The sequence below is a fragment of the Homo sapiens genome, chromosome 13 (assembly GCF_000001405.40).
Source record: "Homo sapiens chromosome 13, GRCh38.p14 Primary Assembly".
In the NCBI taxonomy this organism is placed as follows: domain Eukaryota; kingdom Metazoa; phylum Chordata; class Mammalia; order Primates; family Hominidae; genus Homo; species Homo sapiens.
This window is the reverse complement of record NC_000013.11, coordinates 42,244,678-42,270,076: the sequence shown is the minus strand read 5'-3', so window position 1 is coordinate 42,270,076 and position 25,399 is coordinate 42,244,678. Positions and strand designations below refer to the sequence as shown.

Sequence of the window (25,399 nt, the reverse complement as noted above, 5' to 3'; positions counted from 1 at the left end):
TAATTTCCTATGATCTCAACATTTCTAAAATCCATTAGGTCAGAGTCCTCATGCTGTTTCTGCCTTTGTTGAAACATGTGGATTTCTCCTAATTACTAGGAAAAATAAAATGGAGGATTTTCTTTTGTTACCTGGGGGAAAACAAATGGCTGAAAAGGAAGGGCCCATCTTTAATTTTTTTCCCTCCATTATGCTACACTGACAACCACCTCTTCTGTCTATTCTTAAAGTCAATTCTGGGAACAGAAAATGAAATTCTACGCAGATACTTATTCTTTAGTGTAAGATTTGAAAAGATAGAGGTTGAAAGCTCAGAAATCAAGAGGATGTTTCACCAAAAGAAACGAATCAGGAGATGAGTTCCAACTCGAAGCTCTGTCATTAGTGATACAACCAAATCAAGGTTCCTTATCACCACTGAGTCTCAGCTTCCTCATACATAAAACAAAGCAATGTAACTAGCCTACACCTAAAGTAGTTAAGCCTGAATTACACTTTAACATGCACATACCAGTAGGACGGAAGCTGGAAAGGGAAATGAAATGATTTTTTATGAAAACCTAACAGAGTCAGCGGCTCAACCCAAATGAAATTAGACACACACACACCAGCTGAATAACTCTGAAAACGGTTGATACAGATACCAGGAATGCTTCCCTAAGAAACCTTGGCCTTCTCAGAGTGTGAAAACGGAAACACCGCCACCTGCTCAACCTCGAATTCCATCTCTCTTAAGCTATTTTGAACCTGTGTAGTATTAAATAATGATTCATGTGTTCCTAATCAGAGTTTAAGAACTAGATAGCAAATACATTTTTTAAAAGGTCTGAGGCAATATCCTAAAGTTAAGCTAACACCTTAATTTTAACGAAAGCAAGATTTCAAGATACATAGGGCTACTTTTTAAAAGGAAAAACGCCAAAAAGAGAAAAAGTACTATTTTAACAAAGTAGGACCATTCTTTTAAAATGTTAATTGAGTATTTTTTGAGTGTTTACAGCCCTCATAATGATTAACTGAAACAGCTGCTTGGTACTACTAATTTAGATGAACTCTGGGCCCAACTCTCCCAATCGAACATGTATTAACAGAGCCCGAAATAAATCCTCCCAACTCACCTTAGCAAGACAGTCATTGTGCTCTCTTGTGCTAGCTACAATTATTTGCAGTACATTAATACAAAGTGAGAAAAAATTAGGATTGAGATCCAGTTCTGCTGTGTCCCCAGTTCCTGGATTCTTTTTAAAACTGTGTTTTTTAACAGTTTTACTGAGATGTAATCCATTTACCATACAATTCAGTGCTTCTGGTAGATTTACAGTTGTGCAACTGTCATCAAAATCTAATTTTAGAAGTTTTGTTCCTCCCTAAAAGAAACTCACATACTCAGTAGCAGCCAATCAACTTTATGTCTATAAAGACTTGCCTATTCTGAAGGTGGAAACCATCATTCTAAGCAAACTATCACAAGGACAGAAAACCAAACACCGCATGTTCTCACTCATAGATGGGAGTTGAACAATGAGAACACATGGACACAGGACACAAGGCGGGGAACATCGCACACCGGGGCCTGTAGGGGGTTGGGGGGCTGGGGGAGGGATAGCATTAGGAGAAATACCTAATGTAAATGACAAGTTGATGGGTGCAGCAAACCAACATGGCACATGTATACCTCTGTAACATGTTGTGCACATGTACCTTAGAACTTAAAGTATAATAAAAATAAAATAAAAAATAAAAAAGACTTGCCTATTCTGGACAGTTCATATAAATGGAGTCATACAATACATGGTCTCTTGGGTCTCACTTCGTTCATTTAGCATGTGTTAAAGGATCATCCATGTTGAAGCGTGTATCAGTACTTCATTTATTTTTTATTGCCGAATAACAGTTCCATTCTATGTATATAGCACAGTTTTATTGGCCAACTTATCAGTTGACAGACAATTCAGTTGTTTCTACTTTTTGGCTATTATGAATAATACTGCTTTGAATATTCCTATACAAATTTTGTGTGGATGTTGCTGATTCTTTTTAATACTCTAAAAAATAGAAGACGTTCTATTTATCCCATTTACAGAGTTCATATTTCTCCTCCTAGCACCGTTCCTTTGCTTCCAGGATTTGTCTTTTTTGCCTGCTGGTTGAAGTATGTGCACTCTATCTCCAGAGGGCTGCCATTTCTACTGCATCTGACCATGCCATTCCCCTGCTTACAATCCTTCAGTGGCTTCTCATGGTTTTCCTCATAATCTGCTTTTCTCCTTTGCTTTCATATCATTCTCCCTTTCAGACTGTCCCCTTTTCAGTTCCTCAAAATAGGACCAGACCCTGCCTGCCTCATCACCTTCCACAGGCTGTTTCTTCAGGATCCAATATTCTTTCTCTGTCCATCCCTGTTAACAGCTGAATGCCCAAGAATCCTTCACCTTTCAACTCTACTGTCACTTCCTCAGGAACTTTCGTCCTAACTCCCCAGACTAAGTAAATCCCCTTTACTTAGGACTCCCTACTTTTTCTTCAACGCATTTATCAACTTATAACAATTTTTATTTGTGTGGTTACCTAGTTAATGTCTGTCTCCCTCCTCCACTGAACTGTGAGATCCATGAGCAAGGGCTGTTTCTGTTTTTGCTTAGGAGTTCCTAAGGCACATAGTAGGTACTCAATAACTATTCAAAAAAAGAGAAGCGGGGAAGGAGGGTGTCTTACCAGACTATTCTTTATTCTCTTTAATTTGTATTGTCAGGAGTCCTCAGTAAAGTCCTGATAAATGCTATAAGCCAAATCTGTGCTATGTTAAGGGAAATGAATGTCAAGGCATGTCCCATGCTTGGGATGTTGCAGCAGGGAGAAAACAGGTGTCCCCTGCTCATACTCCTCACAGAAACGGGGTAGGGAGAGGAGAGACCAGTGGTGTACAAAGGAGCCAGGGCAGCAGGGTGGCAAGTCAGGGAACACAGCCTGTGTCCAAGGGCACCCAAGAGGGTGCCTGGGAACCCCTGTGTGTCTCCTAGGGACATTTTAGTGGGCCAATTTCCAGCAATCAAATTGGTGGTGTCTCCTCCACTGTAATTTTCTAAGTTAATGGAAATATTTCTTTCATTTTTAGACATACTGTAATAGAAACAAGACATTTGGGTTATAGGCACATGAAAGAATTATGACCCAGCAAGGTTGAATGATTTATTCTGGATCACATGGGGCACTAAATGGAATAGTTCAGACTAAAATTAGCTAGTTCGGTCTGGTCCTACCTTTCAACAAAACTAAGCCTAATACACAAAGCTAGCCTCTCAGCTTAATACCCTTGGTGACCTTCTGACTACAAAGGCAGGCATCATCTTTCCCCAGGAGCTTTGGAGCTTTACAGTAGCAGCCTCTGACAGCCAAGAGCAGATTCCATATCGCTTCCTGTTTGAAAACTTGAGTCTCCCTTTGGCCCACTTGCTGAATTCCTGCCTGAGTGATATTTCCTGCCTGAGTGATGGTCCCAGCTGGTGGCTCACTTGTAAAAGTGAGATGTCAAGTCCTTCTTTTCTACATTGTTCAGTTTTAGGACTTTGTTTTTTATGATTATGAATTAATACACACGTTATATAGAACATTAGAAAATACAAGAAAAAATAATGGAGCAGACCAGTTATTTGATGGTTGCTTTACATGTATTATTTAACTTATTATTATTTTGTGTTTGTTTGGAGACAGAGTCTCTGTCACCCAAACTGTAGTGCAGTGACCATAGCTCAGTGTAGTCTTGAGCTCCTAGGCTCAAGTGATCCTCCCCACTTACCTCCAGTGTAGCTAGGACTACAGGTGCGCACTACTGCATCTGGCTATTTTTTAAAATTTTTTGTAGATACAGAGTCTTGCTATGTTGCCCAGGCTGGTCTTGAACTCCTGGGCTCAAGCCTCCCAAAGAGCTGGGATTATAGGCGTGAGACACTGCATCCAGCCAAATTTGTTAATACTTAATAAACCAATGTATTAATAAAACATTCTGAAAGGGGAAAAATGTGGAAATTACAGTTTCATCAGCTGTTTAAATATGTAAAGGTGCTTTTTAAGTTCAAGAGGTGAAATACCTCTTTTATGCCTTCGGTTTGAATGCCTATATATTATATCACAGTCTACTATATACTTTATAATGTACATACTGTCAACCTTAATGAGATTCAGAAAATATGATTCAGTATGGAGTTTATTTGAGCATAAAGCTTGAGGATGACAACCTGGGAACAACAATTCCAGATGAATGGGGTCAGTATTCCAAAGTGGAGAAGTTAAGGTTTCACTTACATAGTCTCAGAGAGAGAAATTTTAGCAGGATTATCACATTTTCCACAGGAGACCAGTGTATTACAGCAATTTGATTGGTTATAGATTGCTACATTCCAAGGAAGATGACTTTATTACTCTGTGAGTAAGAGTAGTGATCTGAGAGGGTCTTATATCTGGTGCCTTTTGATCTTACTAATTATTTACAGAAAAAAAAGAGCAGAAGTTGCAACTGCATGCCGTGTGACTCAGGCTGCAGAGCCATGTTCCTCTCAAGGCACAGAATAATGTAAAGTTCCAACAGCTTTAAGTTTAAATGATTTAATTTCACAGCACTTACCTAATTCTTTTGTAGCGAGTGTCTTTATAAGGATAGAGACACATCTTAACCACTGTTAAAATTATACCTAGTGATATTTTAATACACGGTGGCACTCATTAACTGTTCAATGCTAAAATCATAGAATCCTAACTATACTAATTAGTAAATATAGTACAAATGATAATTCAGAAGTGCCAATCCAAATTAAACACTTCTTGAACAGCAAAATCAATCTGAGTCCTACTATATATTTTACTCAAATATAATGATTCTTCTGATTTAAATCATAGCTAATTACTGAATTATAATACTTCTAATATGTAAAACATAGATGTACCTTCTTTTAAGAAAATGTAATATATACTTGTCCAAAGTTCAAAAACAAGTAATTATGCCTAAATGTAACTAGTTGATAAGATAAAAGAGTTTATTTAAATATCATTGCTCTGCTGATTTTACATGACTGGTTTATAGTTAAATTAGAAGTGCAAGGTATTATAAAAAGCTTATGTTACAGACATTACAAGTTCAAAGAAGCATGAATGTTATCAAGCATTTCAAAAGCATTTAGCATAAGTAAATAATAGTTTAATTTACCATATAAAATTTATACACAACTTTTAAAAAATGTCTTTTGCAAAAAGTGAGATAGACTTCCTCTTCATGTGAGCCAATAGCATACATGCTTACTGCTTTAAAAAAGATGTTAGATGACTTCCCCTGGATTATATATCTAAAGGACAAGGTCAGCTTTTGGAATATTGTCCTAACTTTATGACAAGATAAAACAGATCTTAGAACAAGTTATTTCTGGGTCTGTCATTCCTGTTGCTTAGCTGCTTTGCTTGAAAAATGAAACATTAATTCAAAGTGTCAGTCAGAGCATCCTTATTCATTAGTTAGCTCACATGAAATTTAACAGAAATATCCTTACGTGATTAGATCTTTAAAGGAGGTAATAGTCATGCATATGAAACATGAATATTATTAATACATGCTTACATACGGTACAGAAAGTCATTAAACACTGGGGTAAAAATCTAGGTTGAAAAGTGGTAGAACTTTTAAGACCCCCAAATGCCTCCTAGCCCAGGCTGTAGGAAATCCTTGCTCTATTTGCAATTTTAAGCCACTAAACTACGTTAGAGATATCCAGTCTGTCCCCTTACTAGATTTGATCCCAATTTATTTTGGATTGCCCAAAGTCATCTTGAACACATTTGTTCCCCTTCACCACAATGGAATATGTGAAATCAGCTAAGCTTCTGAAAGATAGACTAGGATTTCTTGATAGCCAATCTTCATGAACATCAAAGTAGCCAACCATTTCTGATTTATTGGTTTACTGGCCTGCAACCCTTTATGGTTAGTCCAATCTTCTTCATCGGAAGGATGCAGCTACCAAAACATGGCAAATGCAACTTTAGGCTACATGAATGCTAGTGTGATGCTCAAGACAAAAGAGGTGCTAGTCCTACTGTACTCTAACTAGTCAGTATGCACCTGCATTAGCCATAGTGAAATATGACCAGAGGTGAGGAGCCTAAGGGAATATCTCATATGTGAAACTTATCTTGTTGGTATTTAACCTGAAGAAGGGGAGACTCAGAGGGATATAGTAAACTGAGGTTGAAATGCTAATGTCTGAGAACTATCTGAGGCTTCCTCTGTCCTTCCAGAGGAAGAGGACAGATTTTTGTTCAATGTGAGGGGGAAAAATAATAATTACCATTATTTTTCAAATAGATGGGTTATCTTTATAAACAATGGGTGTCAAATTTCTTGGCACTTTTGTAATTTATTTAGAAAATTCCCTTTGTAGAGCCCAAATTTATAATTCATAAATTTATATTATAAATGTATAATTTGTCATATTCTGCTCTTTATCTCTAAACTGATTTTACCATTCTTCCTGTTTAAGTGTGTCCTTACTCACATTTGATTGTGCAGGTTAGTATCCTTATCAGTTGGTGTAATAATCTTACAATGATTTTGTTATCTTCAAACAGTATGCCTATAAGCTTACTATAATGGGTATATTAAGATTCCTACAGAGCTCTAGCTTAATAGTATAATGGCCTGTACTTTTTCTATCCTTTTTAGATGGTCAGTAGCTATTCTGAAATTGCATATAAACTCCGGATGAAAGTAATATCTGCAGTAAAATAAGGTCTGATAAAATATCATACTAATTTTCATGTATGGTTTGAGGAAACGGCATTTCTTTTCTGTGAAAGAGAAGCCAACATTTATAAGGTGCTACTTGGGTTTCAGTGTCAAACCCTATGCTCTTCGAAGTTTAATATTAGTCTATATTTTTGTAACTTTAAAAAAATTATTGTGAACACTTCTTGCTCATTTTACTCTTTATGTAATTCTAAGAATTCTCACCTAAGTTCCAGGAAGGAATAAAGTCCTCCACTGAAGTCCACTGAAATGTATACTATGCTATCTGTTTCTTGATCATTACTACCTTTCCACATCAGCCTCCACTGAAGTACCCACATTTCTGCCTGGTCTCTAGCTACATGGTCAGTGCAGCTGTCTGCTACAGCATCCCCTCATTAAGATATGACTGGATGATGCCATCCTACAAACAGAGAGCCCTCTCTACAGAAATGATGCTTGATTCTTAGACACCATACAGAATCTATATTCCAGCCCCTTCTGCCAGAACATGGCAAATGTTTCCTCTCCTTGTTCTCAGTAATCTAATTTACCACCTCCATTGGGGACTGGGTTTTGTAATACTATAGTGTTTTCTCCTATGATCCAGCTTCTACTGGACCTTCTCATTTCTCACCCAGGAATGGCAATAATATATTAAGAGATCTAGCAAACCCTCTGCTTGCCCTCAGACAGAAGTGTGTTTCAAATGACTTACATGTTATAGAAAATTGTCATGAATCCTGCCCTCTGTTTATTCATTCATTTTGGTGAACACAAGGTTCTACTTTCCTTGACTCATGACTTCTAACAACTCTAGGTCAAAAAATGGAAGTAGTGGAATACAATGATATACAAAATATACAGAAGAACAAACACCTACTGGGAAAAGCCAAAGGTTTTCTGTGATCCCTGCCAAACATTCAGTTCCCCTGGGCCACCTTGATAATGGATTTCCTCACTAAGCTCCCTTCCTCTCAGTAATATAATACCACTTTCAGAGCTGTTCCAAGAACCAGTGGCTCACTTCCACCTATGCCAGGGAACCCCCAGAGGAGTCACTTGGATAGTAATACTGGTCCACAAAGCCATGAACAAAATTGCTGTGGTCTGAGGACCCTTCTGTATTTCTATTTAGGGTGATTTTACATTCTATTTTGACTGGTACAATCACAGTTGCTGCCTGTTATTAGCGCCTCTTTTATTTTTCAAAAATATCTCAGTTTAGAAAAGAATTTGGATACCCTGTTTATATCCTGCCTTAGGCAGAACCTCTTCTCTACCGGTCAGTCAAAATGGACCTGTCCTGGGATACGACCCCCAGACTACTAGCTGTACAGAAATAATCAGCCAACCCCTAAGGCTATAATATATTTTCAATGTGAAGTCCTAATTTGGGAAAAGGAATCAGACTGCAGGACCACAGGAAAGCAAAAAGAAAAAACAGGTAAGTTATAAGTCTGCCTTTCTTCATGGTCCAGGACACATAGCCCTCTTGCACATTTAACTCACAATCTTCCTGTGCCTAGCTATCACCAGACCCTTGGCTGATAGAAAAATGCAAATTAGCTCACTGAAACCTTAGTGTTATCAGTACTGCACAAAGCCCTCTTCACATAACAGAAGCACCATCCTATAAAATCTTCAGCAGGCCTTTGTCTCCTTGCAGTCAGCTCCTCTCTTGCTGACCTGCCCATTACTTCCTTGAAACATACTTTCATACTTTCTCTAATAAATCTGTCTTTCTTTACTTACAATTGTCTTGGTGTATTAGTCCATTTTCACACTGCTGATAAAGACACGCCCAACACTGGGAAGAAAAAGAGGTTTAATGGACTTACAGCTCCACACGGCTGGGGAGATCTCACAATCATGGTGGAAGGCAAGGAAGAGCAAGTCACATCTTACATGGATGGTGGCAGGCAAAGAGAGAGAATTTGTGCAGGGAAACTCCCATTTTTAAAACCATCAGATCTCGTGAGCCTTATTATTATCATGAGAACAGCATGTGAAAGACCCACCCGCATGATTCAAACATCTCCCACTGAGTCCCTCCCATAACACGTGGGAATTATGGAAGCTACAAGATGAGATTTGGGTGAGGACACAGAGCCAACCCATATCACTTGGTAAATTCTTATTACCACTTACACAACATCGGCCTCAGATAGTCACTATCTGCAACATTCAGTGCCACCCTTCCCACTACCAAGATAACTAACTGATCGTTTCTTCTTCCTGTCAGCTAACTTGCTTATTTAAATGTCATCCACTCTTATCTCGGAACACAAAATGTGCATTAACTACATTTTCTAACCAGGGTATTTCTTGGGCCTACTTGTGTTTGCAGCTGTAGAATATGTTGAAGAATTCTAAGCCACCAAGAATAACTGACAAGTTTTCTCAAGGATGTTAAGACCTTCAAATGATATGTCAACAGTGGTACCCAGGGACAACCCTAAAGGAATGTTACTAGTCTCAGTGACATCTTGGTAATTTCTCTATACATAACTCTTAACAAATCTACATGTTACCGTTCTCATCTCCTCATCATGACCATTGTGTATGTAACACATAATTACAACTCCTAATGCTTTCAAATTCCAGAGTGTACTTCATTAGTCCCTCCTTCATCCTGCCAAATTCAACTCCTATTCTTCATACTTTATATTTGGGAATATGTAGTTTATGTCACCTCAGACTCTCACTCCACTGGAAAGAAATCCAATACTTTAACAAATGGAATACAAGAAAAAAAACAAATACTGAGAGCCTGCCACCTCATCTCTGCCTGCCATTGGGATCTTTGGCCACTGCCCTACAGGGAAGATGCAGAGACCCACAGTGCTGGGATTTCTACTGCAATTTGGTCCCTAGAAAACTCATTAGTCCAGTTGAAGGGGGTAGCATCACCTCCTGTCCCAAGGATCTGACTCTCCTTGAGAATTCTTGAAAAGACATTTGTCAGGAAGCCTACATGGGATACATTTCCCTAGTCTGTGACTCTGGCCATACACATTACTCCTGTTTTACACATTATCTTTGGTTCTTCATAACCAACTTGACCAATGTGCCACTTGAAGGCAGGTAGCGACTGTGCCTTATTGACTCCCAAGGGTCTGTCACAAAATCAAATAATTGTCATCAATTGTTATCAACAGGCACATTTCTGCTGTTCCACAATACCTTTTCATTCTTTCTTTTCATATGGTTTCTTGAGGCTTGACCTGAGGAATGGGGACAAAATAGCAGTGAAGGTCTGGCTTGGAGTCAGTAGCCTTGAAGACAGTGGGGTGCTTAGGTTGGGTACGATGCAGTTACTAAAGAGTCTAAGTCAAGCATAAGCTGTGGTCTCTAATAGGGAAATAAATAGAGGGGTCCCAGAAACAAGCAAGAAGCCAACCTAGCATAGAACCGGAGGAAAATTAGCAGGAGGGCCAAGCTGTTCGAAGCAGAACTATTCAGGTAACCTAAGACAAAAGGATTGCTAAGAGGTGTTGCATTTTATAAGGCAAGTAGCTTGGGGACGTGACTTCCTGTGTACTCACTTAAAAGACTCCGGAGGCCACTATCATCTCCAAAACAGAGGGTTATAGTTCCAAGAAATACTTTATCTCTAGGTCTGAGTAAGGAAAGGTAATGAAAGACAGCTGTGTCCCAACACATTTTCTATTTCAAGAGCCTGCATCTCCAGTGCTTAATTTGATCAGTCTGACACAGGTTAGGAAGGAAATAAGGAAGCTTAGCAAGTGCTGAAAACTGTAAATTTTCATCTTGGCTTAGGCCCTCTATTACATTCATCTACTAGATTGGAACAGGTTTTAGGCAAGAGAGCTAGGTGGAAATTCAGTCTGGAGCTCAGAGTTCCATGTTCCAGAGACAGTTCATGAATGCACCAGGTGTCAAAGGATCCAACACCAAGTATAAGAGATGATCCAAAAAGCTAACAAAATATAGCATTAGAGAATCAGGAGATACTCAGAAACCCAGCCTGACAATGGGCAGGCACTGAGAAAGTATATCAACAAATAAAATGGCCTCTATCCCTGTGGGTGTGGAAGCAGGACACCACAGGGGACAGGGATGGCCAGGACAAGTACTCGGTATATATATTACTGTTGCAGAATTTTTGCCCCTTAGTTCAGCTAAATTCGGGTTTATCTCACAACCAGGAAAACTTAGACATGCAGACACATTGAAGGGTGGGGAATGGAATTTATTGGGCGAAAAGGAAAAAAGAAAAAACTCTCAGCAAAGTGAGAGGGGTTCCTGCCAACGGCTCCCATCTCACAGATTGAATACCAGGCCACCACACAGGAGCTCAAGAGCCCAGGCTCCTCCCCCGTGCACAAGGCAGAAACTTCTCGGTGGCTCCACCCCATTCTCCCAGTGGCAGGTGGGCTGGAGATTCTCCAGGGATTCTCCCTCTTACATGCTTCCTGCATCTGTCAGTACCAGTGAGCAGTACTCAGTCAACTCCTTAGTTACCAGGGACCTCAAGTTCAATGAAAAGAGAGAACTGAAGTCTAATAAATTAGGAAACCATGTTTTCAGAACGGGGGCATAAGATTAACGCTAGAGGCAACAGTAGGATATTTTGTGTATTCTAAAGAGGTTTTGAGCCTAGAGCCTTGCTCAGGTTGTTCTGCAGGGAGAAAATGAAGGCAGAGGTTGGAACTAGTTAGGATATTGTTTTAAATTATAAAATATTTAAAATAAATCCAAAATAGGCCAGACGTGGTGGCTCATGCTTGTAATCCCAACACTTCGGGAGGCCAAGGCAGGTGGATCACCTGAGGTCAGGAGTTTGAGACCAGCCTGGCCAACATGGTGAAACCCCGTCTCTACTAAAAATACAAAAATTAGCCAGGCTTGTTGGCGTGTGCCTGTAATCCCAGCTACCTGGGAGACTGAGGCAGGAGAATTGCTTGAACCCGGGAAGCAGAGGCTGCAGTGAGCCAAGATCATGCCACTGCACTCCAGCCTGGGTCGCAGAGACTCCATCTCAAATAAATAAATAAATAAATAAATAAATAAATACAGGTGTTTTATTTTAAGAAGTAAAACGTTCCAGGGAGAGCTAAAGCCCCTTTCTCAGAGTCCCTTTTCTCTTCCTTTCTCTTCATAGGAACCCACCATCCTGAAATTGATGCATATCATTACCACGAATGTTTTTATACTTTTACTACACATATATGAATCCATAAACAAGACATACATTGTTTGAATGTTTACAATTTTTACAAAAACGGTATAATGTAGTATATAGTTTTGCAGCCTGCTTATTTTTTCACTCAACATTGTTCTTGGAATTTATTCATACTGATTGGTCATATTGATTTCATTCACTCAGTTGAATTAATAAATGACTTTATTCATTCTCCTATTATTCAGTGCCTCTCATATTCATTAACACAATCTTACAATAAGCATTGTTTCAAGTACCTTTGTGCCCATATATATATACTAGTAGCAGGACTGTTGGGTCACAAACTAGACGCATCTTCAACTTACTAGGTATTACAAAATAGGTCTCCAGGTAGTTGTACTGATTTAAACTCCTATCTACAGTGTGTACAAATTCCCATTTCTACTCACCCCTGCCAAAATTACACAGCTTGGCCAGTCCAAGGGACCCAAAATGATATCTCATTTCCCTGCAGTTCTCTGACTGCTAGTACTACTGAACATATTGTTCGATGTTTACTGATTCCTAAATTTCTTTTCTGGGAATTCCCTGTTCATACAATTGTCCATTTTTCAAATGGGTTGTTTGGTTTTCTAAAAATTTACTTGTATGAATATATACAGATAGCAAAGTGGCACACAAAAAAGATGCTCAATATCATTAGTCATTAAGGAAATGCAAAATAAAACCATGTGAGATACCACCACTCTCCTATTAGAACTGTCATAAAAATGACAATACCAAGTATTGGCTAGAATGGAAGCAATGAAAACAGATACTCATACATCGATGGTGGTAATGAAAATGGCACAGTCACTTTGGAAAATAGTTTGGCAGTTTCTACCTACCATATGACCCAGCAGTCCTGTGGTGCTTTCCTGAAAGGAAAATACATGTTCATACAAAAATGTATACAAATTTTTATTGTGGTTTTATTTGTAATCACCCCAAACTGGGAACATTCCAGTGTCTTTCACTTGGTGAATGGATAAACAAACTGGTCTATCCATATAATGGAATGCAACTTAGCAACAAAGAGGAAAATCTATAGATATAATCAATATTTGTATGTTAAGTTAAAGAAGCCAGACTATAAAAGCTACATTATATGTGATTCCATTTAAATGGCATTTTGAAAAGGCAAAAATACAGGAATAGAAAACAGATCTGTGATTGCCAACGGCTCAGGTGTGAGAGGGATTGATTACCTAGAGGCCCTACAGACCTTTCTGTAAGATAAAACAAATGTTATATGCATTAATTATAGTGATGGTTGCAAAATTGAATGCATGTATTAAAATTCATACAGCTGTTGTAAAAAGGATGAGTTTTCTTGCTTGTAAATTACACCTCAATAAGCTTGACTTAAAACATAAGTAAGTGACTTTAGGAGCTATGTATGCATGTTGGATGCTAATCCTTGATCACTTGTATGTTTAAAAATATTTTTACAGTCCACAGCCTGTCTTTTCAACTTTTATGTGTTGTTTATTATTGAATAAAGCTTTTGCATTTTTATTAGTCAGATTTATCAGTTTTTTAAAAAATTATATACACGTTTATTTTCATTATAAATTTACTTAAATCACTTTGGACTCAGCATGTCCTTAGTTTTTACCTGTTCATCAAACTGTTCTGGTGTGAGATAGCCAAGTTCAATAACAGTTTCCTTTAAGGTTGATCCATTTTTGTGTGCTGTCTTAGCAATCTTTGCTGCCTTGTCATACGCTATACGAGGATTGAGAGCTGTCACCAACATTTGAGACTCATTCATCAGCTTGTTGATCCTTTCTGTATTGGCCTGGATTCCCACCACGCAGTTTTCTGTAAAGGAAACTGAAGCATCCGCCAGCAGCCTGGCTGAGTGTAACACATTTTTAATCATCATTGGCTTGAAAACATTCAACTCAAAATGTCCACTGCTGCCTCCAACTGTTACAGCAACATGATTCCCCATGACTTGGGCTACAACCATGGTCATTGCTTCACACTGAGTAGGGTTCACCTTGCCTGGCATGATACTACTTCCTGGTTCATTTTCAGGCAAGATCAGTTCTCCCAGACCTGACCAAGGGCCAGAACCCAGAAAACGAATATTATTTGCTATCGTCATCAGACTACAGGCAGTAGTGTTCATGGCTCCACTGAGCTCAACCAGAGCGTCATGAGCAGCCAGAGCTTCAAATTTATTTGGAGCAGTGACAAAAGGCAAGCCTGTACGTGCAGCCAATTTTGCAGCAACCTTCTCTATCAGTCTCTTTTTTGAAGATAAAAATGGGCTGCCCTTTTTATATATTACTTAAAATAATCTTTCCCTAACCCAATGACAGAGAAAATATTCCCTTATATTTTCTTCTGAGAAGTTCGCAGTTTTGCTTCCCACATGTCATTTATTTATTAGGAACTCATTTAGAATATGGTATGAAGAAGGGACTTAATATTTTTTCTTTTTTCATATGAGCATCTAATTATTCCAACATCATTTGCTGAATAACGTTTTTCTTCTCTTAATTTTTAACCACCAACTTTCTTAAAGTCTAAGGAACATGGCTGACATTGCCCAAATTTTTCTGCCTTCACATTTTGTCCTCTACAATAATGTAATGACATTTTACAAGCCAAAAACCTTGTTATTTCTGTATCTCAGAACACTCAAACAGATTAGGGGCTGTGTTGGAATTCATTGTTTCATTTGCCTTCTCAGAGATAGCACTGACAGCAAATCAAATGTTTATTATATGTTCTCTTTTAAAGTAAAAATTCTAGGAAATAACTAGAACTGAAAGTCTCCCCATTTAAGTTGGTTTTTTAAAAAAATTCTTATTCAATTAAAAAAAATCTCCATTCATTCTCATAAAATATAAGCAATCTATCAAGTATTCTGCAACATATATTGAGCATTCATAATGTACAAAAGATTAATAGCATGGTTAAAAGATATGTTCCCTAAACAATACTGCACACTAGATTATTGAGACTACCACAGTCTAATAGAAATATAATGTATGCCATTATATAATATTAAATTTTCTAGTACTCTCAGTAAAAAAGCTAAAAGAAACACGCAAAAATAATAGATTTTATTTACCCCAATATATACAAGATATTTTCAACAATTAGTCAATATAAAAATTTTTGTCTAGCAATGTAAGAATCTTTTATTAATAAAAATGCCAAAAATAACATCATTGCTTTTTCTATGAAAGCATCACATTCATTATTTTAAAAAAAGAAATGCATAAAGATGGCAAAATCATTTGAAAATGATCTCTAATTCTATGTAGAAATCATCACGAAACATTTCATTGAACATTCATCCAGAATTTATATTAGTATATACACACATACGTACACATATGTATAATTCAAAATAGGATTATAAAGCATATATACTGCCTTCAATTTAGTTTATTACTTAATACGTTATATTGTTTCCATGCCAAACACAAGGAAGGTATAACTATATAACATTCTTTTTTTTTTTTTTTCTGACGGAGCTTTGCTTTTGTTGCCTAGTGGAGTGCAATGGCATGATCTTGGCTCACTGTAACCTCCACCTCCCAGGTTCAAGTGATTCTCCTGCCTCAGCCTCCCACGTAGCTGGGATTATAGGCACCCGCCACCATGCCTGGCTAATTTTTTGTATTTTCAGTAGGGACAGGGTATCACCATGTTGGCCAGGCTGGTCTTGAACTCCTGACCTCAGGTGATCAGGTGATCTGCCTCAGCCTCCCAAAGTGCTGGGATTACAGGCATGAGCCACCACACCTGGCCATATATCCATTGTTTTAAGCTGCTTTGTATCCCACAAAATAAATGCATCATGATTTGTATGAACATGTCCCTATCATCTGGCATTTAGATTGTTCTCAGTATTTCACTATCTCATGCCACACTGTGATTAACATACTTATGCATACATTTTGAACATTCCTCTATTTATTTTCAAGGGATAGATTCTAAGAGTGGAATTACTGAATCTTATTAGGGTAGAAAGATAATTTTAATTTATGTTGCCAATTTCTTTCCCCAAAATGCTACACCAATATACTCTCCCACCAGAAACATCTTAAGAGGTAATAAATTCTGGGCTTTAAGCAATTAATATACTTTTTTTTTTTTTTTTGGTAACCCACTCCCAATTTTGAGGCTGCCTATGTGAACAATATAACATTATTATGGGGGCATTTTACATTCTTTTTTTCATACTAAGTTGCAAAATCCAATGGGTATTTAGAAAATTCAGAGGAGCTACATTTCATATGTTCAATAGACACATGTAGCCAGTGGCTACCATATTGAACGGTGCAGATTTGTACCACCTTTCCTTTGTAAATAACTGCAAATGCAGGATAAAACAAAATGAAGGCAAGAACCTAGAAAGTTAAGCTTATCACAGAATCAGATTTTATCTGAAGGCATTTACCACAATGGCTAAATTCAAGCGTTATTTTTATTATTCCCAGGAGCTTAGGAGAAAGATAGTCAAGCTAGTACCAACTCTAAGTGGGGACTTTCACAGGAAATCTCCCCGCTAAGCTAAAACACCAAAGGGCAGCACCTGAAGTGTCTTAGTTCATTTAGGCTGCTATAGCAAAATACCATAGACTAGCTAGTTTATACGTAAGAAATATTTCTTTTATAAAATAAATAAACATTTCTTTCATAAATAAGAAACATTCATTTCACTTTCAGCTCTGGAAGCTGAGAAGTCCAAGATCAAGGCAATGGCTGATTCAGTGTCTGATGAGGTTTTGCTTCCTGGTTCCTGGATGGCCTCTGCTTGCTGTGTCCGCACATGGTGGAAGGGTTAAGGGAGCTCTCTGAATCCTCTATTATAAGGGCATTAATCCCATTCGAGGACTCCATTCTCATGACCTAATCACTTCCCAAAGATCCCCCTGCCAATACCATTACCTTGGGGATTAGGTTTCAACATGTGAATTTTAGGGGGACACAAACTAGACTATAGCACTCAGCATAAAGGTGAACCAGAAATTAACCCATGCCACACCTTCAACTTTAGGGTAGAAAGCTGCCTTTAACACATTTACTAAAATCTTGTGAATCAAAGAAATTATAAAGTCAATTATAAAATGCTTGAAATTGGATAATAATGAGACTACCTATTAAAAGTTGTAGGAGGCCGGTCAAGACCAACCTGGCCAACATAGTGATACCCTGTCTCTACTAAAAATACAAAAATTAGCCAGGCATGGTGGTGGGCACCTGTAATCCTAGCTCCTTGGGAGGCTGAGGCAGAAGAATCGCTTGAACCTGGGAGGTGGAAGTTGTAGTGAGCTGAGATCGCACTACTGCACTCTAGCCTGGGTGACAGATCAAGACTCTGTCTCAAAAAAAAAAAAAGTTGTAGGATGCATGAGACCTTCCCCAACCGACTCAGTTGCCATAGGTCTCTGCGCAGTGGAATTTAGCATATAGAATTAGCGTGCAATTGCAGGTTTAGTGTCTGGGGAGCTTACCTTCAAGCCTGAGCATCCATGGGATCCCTATTCTGTGGCTCTTTCCTGCTTCCACCATGCTGGTCTAGGATATCTCACTGAGATTCTGCCTGGACTTCCTAAGTACCAATTCATTCGCTTGGGATATAGGCCGTGTGGAGTCTCAGGCCACTTACCTCCTAAAGGAATTGAAGTTGTCCCTTGGATTCCTAGAGAAGCAGGTGACCATCTTGAACTCATATATATCCTCTAAAAAAATAGAATAAAATTCTATTTTGAAAAATGTTTAAAGAAAACTTACGGGATGCAGCTAAAGTAGTACTTACAGAAAAATAGACAATTCTACATGCTTTTATTAGTAAAGACACTGTATTAAACATCCAACCCAAGAAGTCAGAAAAATAAAACATACCCAAAGAAAAGATTGCCACTATTACTGGACAGTTTTACAGATAATTCTACCATACATTCAAAGAACAGGTAATTCTGTTCTTACACAAATTCATCACAGATTGGGGAAAAAAAAAAAAGGAAAAGCTCTTTCATTTTATGACCTACTGTAACCTTGGCTCCCAAACTAGACAAAGGCAGTGTAATATCACTTGTGACCACAGAGGTTAAGAGTTTTAAACAATATTCCAAGTGAAATACTCTCCTCACCCATTCAAAGGACATTTTTTGAAGACCAGCTAGGAACCAAACTTTGTGCAGCGTGATGAGGACAGGATGAATAATACATGCTCTCTGTTCTCAAGCAAAAGCTAATTAAGTGGAAAGATAACTGTGTTAATAATTATGATGCAATATAATTGCTTTAGTGGGGGGTATGTAATGGGAACACGCTGTAATGGGAATAGAGATGAAAATATCTAAGCATTATACACTCTTGGTGAGTTTTGAAAGATTCTGTTGAGGGTCCCCGTGAGACTTTATGGATGAGTAGAAGGTTCACAGGTGAATACGAGGTGGTAGTGGAGGTGGAGAGGATGGGAGGGATATAATGCAGGGTGATGCATGTGTTCACAGGTGTGCATATCTGTATGTAGTGTGTGGAGGATGAAAAATGGACAAGGATGAGAAATCAGAGGAGAGCTTGGAAGCGTTCCTTTCATTTTGACTCAATACACAGAGGGAAGAAGTGATTTCAGTTAATACCAAAGGGATGAAGTTATCAGAGACTGCAGAACAGACATGAGTGGGTATAAAAGGAATATAGATATAAAATAAATAAATAAATATATGTATTTTTTCAGACAGGGACTCAATTGATCCTCCCACCTCAGACTCCCAAGTAGCTGGGACTACAGGCACATGTCACCATGCCCAGGTAATTTTTGTATTTTCAGTACAGACGGTGTTTTGCCATGTTGCCCACGCTGGTCTTGAACTCCTGGGCTCAAGCGATATGCCCACCACAGCCTCATGAAGTGTTGAGATTACAGGTGTGAGCCACTGTGCCCGGCCAATACAAATATTTAAATTCACAGAGCTTTACAATAAATTTTTCACTAATCTCGGTTTTTAACTTTTAATTTTTATTTGTGCCTATTTTTACCCATTTTATTCTTTCAATATATTAAAGTTCATATATAAAGTCTGTATCAAGATAATTTCTATCTTGATGAAAATAGAGACCAAATTTTACTTTTAAAATTAAGATTACTGCAGGCCAAAACAACATTAAACATATTGCCAGCATGCTGTAATCACTTTCAAATCAGCCGATATGCTTTAATAATATCATTTCCCATTGAAATTGCATAGCTCATGAAATCATAATTAAGCTAATTAGAGTGCTACATATTAGTGTTTTTTGTTGGTTGAAAATTTGTTATCATGCAGTAATGAGCTTCTAGACATTTATGCCTTTAGGCTGAACAACCTTTTATAGTAGCCATGAGATGCTTAATATTCTTATTATCACTTTAATGGGCACTGGCTTCTGTCCTTTAATTGGTTGTCACTTTCTGCTGAAGTGCCGCAGGGATATGTATTGAACAAATTGTAAGAGTGAGTATTATGTTCTGTTTCAGATTTTTTGTTATTAATTTATAATGTGACTGCACTGTAGTAAGAGTCCCCAGTTTGTATGACCCAGGTTCTTCAACATTATTGACAATTGTTTGTAGCCCAGAACATAGCTTTTCAAGGCTTCAGTTTATTATTTGTAAAATAGGGGCTGGTGATAGCATTCAAGATCCTCTTTTCTAGTTATCTTGAAAGTTATTACCATCAAGAAATGATAAAGGTTCGAGGTGATGGACATGTTAACTATCCTGATTTGATCATTATACAATGTATACAGGTATTGAAGTATCACATTGTACCCTATAAATGTACAATTACGTGTTAATTATAAACTTTTTTTTTTTTAAATAGGAGCTGGAGTGGCCGGTCGTGGGGGCTCATGCCTATAATCCCAGCACTTTGGGAGGCCGAGGCGGGTGGATCAGGAGGTCAGGAGATCGAGACCATCCTGGCTAACATGGTGAAGCCCCATCTCTACTAAAAACACAAAAATTAGCTAGGTGTGGTGGCATGTGCCTGTAGTCCCAGCTACTCGGGAGGCTGAGGCAGGAGAATCGCTTGAACCCGAGAGGCGGAGGTTGCAGTGAGCCCAGATCGCGCCACTGCACTCCAGCCTGGGCAACAGAGCAAGACTCCATCTAAAAAAAAAAAACAAAAAAACAAAAAAACTGGAGCTGGAGTGAATGAGGAGGCTGGATCAAATCAGTGATCCCTAATCCTGGCCACAGGTAAGAATCAATGAAGGAGAGTGATTCAAATGTTGGTGTCCCAAACCCCTTCCCAAGAGATTCTAGTTGTGTAGGTCCAGGGTGGTTCCTGAAAACTTTTTTAAAACATAATCTGCAAATGATTCTTAGACATTCAGCTAATCATTGGAAACTGTTGAACTAGCTCTGTGGTTTTAAAAATTAATACTGTGGGCTATGACCTATTAGTGTAGGGATGTGCCAACATCTGTTTTTGTAAATAATGTTTTATTGGGACCCAACCATGCCCATTCATTTACATATCGTTTGTGGCTGCTTTCCTGCCACATTGGCAGAGTAGAATAGTCCTGACAGAGACCACGTGTCCTGCAAAGCTGAAAATATTACTATCTGGCCCTTTACGTAAAAAGTTTGCTGACCTTCTCATTAGTGGGTTACAAAATCAGTTTAATAGGTTGCAATCAGTATTTTTGTTTACAATCAGTATTTTTGTTTGTTTGTTTGTTTGTTTGGAGACAGAGTCTCGCTCTGGTGCCCAGGCAGGAGTGCAGTGGCATGATCTTGGCTCACTGCAACCAAGAGGGCCGGGCTCACTCCATCCTCCCAGGCTCAATTGGTCCTCCCGGGCTCAATCGGTCCTCCCACCTTAGCCTCTCTAGTAGCTGGGACTACAGGCATGCGCCACCAAGCAGAGCTAATCTTTGTATTTTTTGTAGAGGCTGAGTTTCTGCAAGTTGCCCAGGCTGGTCTGGAACTCCTGGGCTCAAGCCATCCACCTACCTTGGCCTCTCAACATGCTGGGATTACAGGCATGAGCCACTGTGCCCGCCACAATCAGTAATTTTTTTAAAACAAAATAGAATAGAAAATATTAAGCTATATTGCATGTACATAAGTGCTATTTTGTTAAACTTGTGATATATAAACATATCTGCTTATATATCATGTATATATGTGTGTGTATGCACAGTCACGCATCACCTAACGGGGACACATTCTCAGATATGCATTGCTAGGTGATTTTTTTCATTGTGTGAACATCACATTGTACTGACACAAACCTAGATGGGATAGCCTACTACACACCTAAGCTATATGATATAGCCTGTTGCTTCTAGGCTACAAACCTGTATAGCATGTTAGTGTACTGAATGCTGCAGGCAATTGTAATAAAATGGTATTTGTGTATCTAAACATATCTAAACAGAGAAAAGGTACGGTAAAGATATAAAAGATATCTACAGTAAAAATATAAAATATAATATAAATATATATCATAATTATATATTACAAATAATATATATTATGTATTATATAAATTATTACATTGAAATTATAAATTATTTTATATTTATATTAAATATTAAACAATATAATTTAAATAATTATTAAATAATTGCATAAATATATATTATTTAATTATAAATTATATATATAATATTATATATAAATTATATATTATACTTATGTATATCTATATTATATATATATTTTTTTGAGACGGTGTCTCGCTCTGTTACCCAGGCTGGAGTGCAGTGGCCCCGTCTCAGGTCACTGCAAGCAACCTCTGCCTCCCGGGTTCAGACGATTCTCCTGCCTCAGCCTCCCGAGTAGCTGGGATTACAGGCATGTGCCACCATGTCCAGCTAATTTTTATGTTTTTGGTAGACACAGGGTTTCACTATGTTGGCCATGCTGGTCTCGAACTCCTGGCCTCAAATGATAGGCCTGCCTGGGCCTCCCAAAGTGCTGGGATTACAGGCTAAAGGTACATCTGTATAGGACACTTAATTCATGAATGGAGCTTATAGGACTGGAAGTTGCCTTGGGTGAGTCAGTGAGTGAATGGCGAGTGAATGTGAAGGCCTGGGGCATTACTTTGCACTACTGTAGACTTTACAAACACTGTACACAGGCTAAACTGAATTTATTAAAATATTTTTCTTTCTTCAATAATAAATATTAGCTTACTGAAACATTTTTACTTTGTAAACTTCTTTTAACTTTTTGACTCTTTTGTACTAACACTTAGATTAAAACACAAACATATAGTTATACAAAAGCTTTTTCTTTATATCCTTAATCCATAAGCATTTTTCTATTAAAATTGTTTTTGTTTTTAACTTTTTTACTTTTTAAACTTTTTTAAAAAAAACCTAAACCACAAAACACATTAACCTAGGCCTACACAGTTTCAGGATCATCAGTATCACTGTCTTCCACCTACACATTTTGTCCCACTGGAAGGTCTTCAGAACAAAAACATGCATGAAGCTGTCATCTCCTATGATAACAATGCCTCCTGAAGGAACTGCCTGAGGCTGTTTCATAGTTAACTTTTTTTTCTTTCAATAAGTAGGAGTACCCTCTAATATAATGATAAAAAGTGTAGATCTGGGCACAGTGGCTCACGCCTGTAATCCCAGCACTTTGGGAGGCCAAGGCAGGCGGATTGCTTGAGATCAGGAGTTCGAGACCAGCCTGGCAAACATGGTGAAACCCCGTCTCTACTAAAAATACAAAAATTAGCAGGGCATGGTGGCGCACACTGGTAGTCCCAGCTACTTGGGAGGCAGAGGCAGGAGGATTGCTTGAACCCAGGAGGCACAGGTTGCCGTGAGTCGAGATCATGCCATTGTATTCCAGCCTGGACCAACAGAGCAAGACTGTCTCAAAAAAAAAAAAAAAAAAAAGTATACATAGTGTAGGAAATGTATAAACCAATCAGTAACATATTCATTGACTGTCATCATTAAGTATTATGTATTGTATGTAATTGTGTGTGTTATATGGTACTTTAATATGACTGGCAGCAGAGTAGGTTTGTTTACACCACAAACATGAGAGTAATGTGTTGTACTACAATGTTGTGATGGCTATGAGGTAACTGGGCGACAGGAAGTTTTCAGCTTCATTATAATCTTGTGGGACCACGGATATCTGTGTGGTCATATATGTGGTCCACTGTTATCTGAAACAGTTATAAAGCACATGACTGCATGTGTGTGTATATACACACACACATTCATATATATTTATGTATATTGGGGAAAATGTATTTCTCACCATGGGGAGCAGTCAAAAAAAGCTTGAAACAAATTAAACGAGATCTCAGATCACTTTCATTTGTGGCCTTCCTCTCAGTTGCGGGGGGTGATACAGCAGCATGGATTAGGGTGCGCGGGAGGCCTGCGTGGGAGAGAAGCTATGTGGAGAGCATACTTTACCTGACTCACTGTATTCTTGTGCTGCCTTTTATTCGATAAGTCAGTATCGCTCCTCTAAGAAAGGGTAGTGCTCCAATGCCCACATTCATCCAAAATGTCGTTGCCAGAAGTAGACCCAACTCCAAGGGTGTGAGGGTGTTTCAAATGGGGCTAATAATAAACTCACGGGGTTGGTATGAGGATTAAATGTAGATATAGTACCTCAAACTAAGAAGTGTTATACACTGCTATGACACTATATATTTGCCTGTATTCTCTCTCTCTTTTTTTTAATAGAGATGAGGCCTCACTATGTTGCCTGGGCTGGTCTCAAACTACTCCTGGGCTCAAGCGATCCTCCTCCCTTGGCCTCCCAAACTGCAGGGATTACAGGTGCGAGCCACCACGCCCAGCCTTGTAGTCTCTCATTCTTGCGGCTGGTATCACCATCCCAGGCTTGCTTTGGGACAAGCTCCATTATGTTGCCAACCATACCACCAATTGTTACATTTTGTGAACGTACTGGTGGTGGCACAAGAACTTATGGAGACAAACACCAAGGCCACAGTAGGACAGGAAAGATGGGGTTCAGATCCTTGGATTGCTTGGATGATTCTTGATTTCCACATCAGAAAAATCTATTGTATTTAGATTTCCTGGTGAAAATTCTAACTTGCTAGTACTATAACCCATTAGCTGCCAAGAGTTATGGCTATGTAAACACACTGCTACTTTTTAAAGAATTAGGATATATAATACAATTAGCATTTTAAAATAAAAGTAGTTTAATATGATGATTCAGCTAGCCCTTCAGAATCAGGCGGTGCCTCAGGGTCATGATGTAGATGGCTCACACCTGTAATCCCAGCACTTTGGGAGGCTGAGGCAGGCGGATCATGAGGTCAGGGGTTCGAGACCAGCCTGGCCAATATGGTGAAAACTTGTCTCTACTAAAATTAAAAAATTAGCCAGGTGTGTTGGCGCGTGCCTGTAGTCCTAGCTACTTGGGAGGCTGAGGCAGGAGAATCCCTTGAACCTGGGAGGCGGTGGTTGCAGTGAGCCAAGATCACACCACTGCACTCCAGCCTGGGAAACAGAGTGAGACTCCATTTCAAAAAAAAAACAAAAGTATTGGTTAGTAGTGACCTGCTTTTAAAGGGTGTGGATAACCAACTTATTTGGAGTTTAAATTCTGGTTCATTTATTTCCTAATTCAGTGAGGACTCTGCATATTTTGCCTTTACATATGATCAATTGCATTCAATCTATAGGTGAAAGAGACCTCAAGATGATCTGGTCCTCTGATCTGATGCTTAAATTACTTCTGATTTATTCAACAAATAGATAATGTGCACATACCACATGCTAACCACTATTCCGTGCATTGGGATAGCGTCATGAAAAAAATCCTTTCCCTCATGGAGTTCACATTCTCAAGGGTCAACAACCGTCAAGTGTTGGTAGCCTCTGTTTGAATCTCTCTATCAAAGGAGATCTCATTTTATGAGATACTCCAGTGCATCTTTAGATAATCAGTTTTTGCTGTCAATTTCACTTGCTTGTCTCATTTAGAACTAATGCAAGCCCACTTCTCCATCACAGTCCCTCAGATATCTGAAGGCAGTTCTTAAGTCCAACTTCATTTCCCACCTCTACCCCCAATCCCTGCCCCTGGATGTTCTCTTTTCCAAGCTAAGAATCCTCCAGTCCCTCAAGCATTCCTTCTGGGTCAGCTTCTTGCCCCACTTTCCCCTGAAGGTGATAAGATTGTGTATGTTGTTCTTTTTTTTTTTTTTTTTTTTTTTTTTTTTTTGAGACGGAGTCTCGCTCTGTCGCCCAGGCTGGAGTGCAGTGGCGGGATCTCGGCTCACTGCAAGCTCCGCCTCCCGGGTTCACGCCATTCTCCTGCCTCAGCCTCCCAAGTAGCTGGGACTACAGGCGCCCGCCACTACGCCCGGCTAATTTTTTGTATTTTTAGTAGAGACGGGGTTTCCCCGTTTTAGCCAGGATGGTCTCGATCTCCTGACCTCGTGATCCGC

The 25,399-nt window shown here is 38.7% G+C and overlaps 1 protein-coding gene and 1 pseudogene across 1 annotated transcript in view, besides 2 other annotated features; both read right to left on the bottom strand.

Moving 5' to 3' along the window:
• Positions 10,104–10,610: a transcriptional cis regulatory region, noted in NCBI's record as "candidate enhancer chr13.545 targeted for multiplex CRISPR interference". NCBI's record gives its function as "positively regulates AKAP11 gene expression with high confidence in K562 cells {active_cell/tissue: K562}" and the evidence as "EXISTENCE:mutant phenotype evidence [ECO:0000015][PMID:30612741]".
• Positions 10,991–11,256: a transcriptional cis regulatory region, noted in NCBI's record as "candidate enhancer chr13.544 targeted for multiplex CRISPR interference". NCBI's record gives its function as "positively regulates AKAP11 gene expression with high confidence in K562 cells {active_cell/tissue: K562}" and the evidence as "EXISTENCE:mutant phenotype evidence [ECO:0000015][PMID:30612741]".
• DGKH (diacylglycerol kinase eta) overlaps positions 13,493–25,399 on the bottom strand; it is a 216,515-nt gene continuing 204,608 nt past the window's right edge. Inside the window, exons 31-32 of the transcript NR_123715.2 lie at positions 17,596–17,668; positions 13,493–13,793 (exon numbers count right to left, since the gene is read on the bottom strand). The gene's annotated coding sequence lies outside the window, so the exon portion shown is untranslated. The remainder of the gene's footprint in view (positions 13,794–17,595; positions 17,669–25,399) is intronic.
• FHP1 (fumarate hydratase pseudogene 1) lies at positions 13,502–14,206 on the bottom strand (annotated as a pseudogene).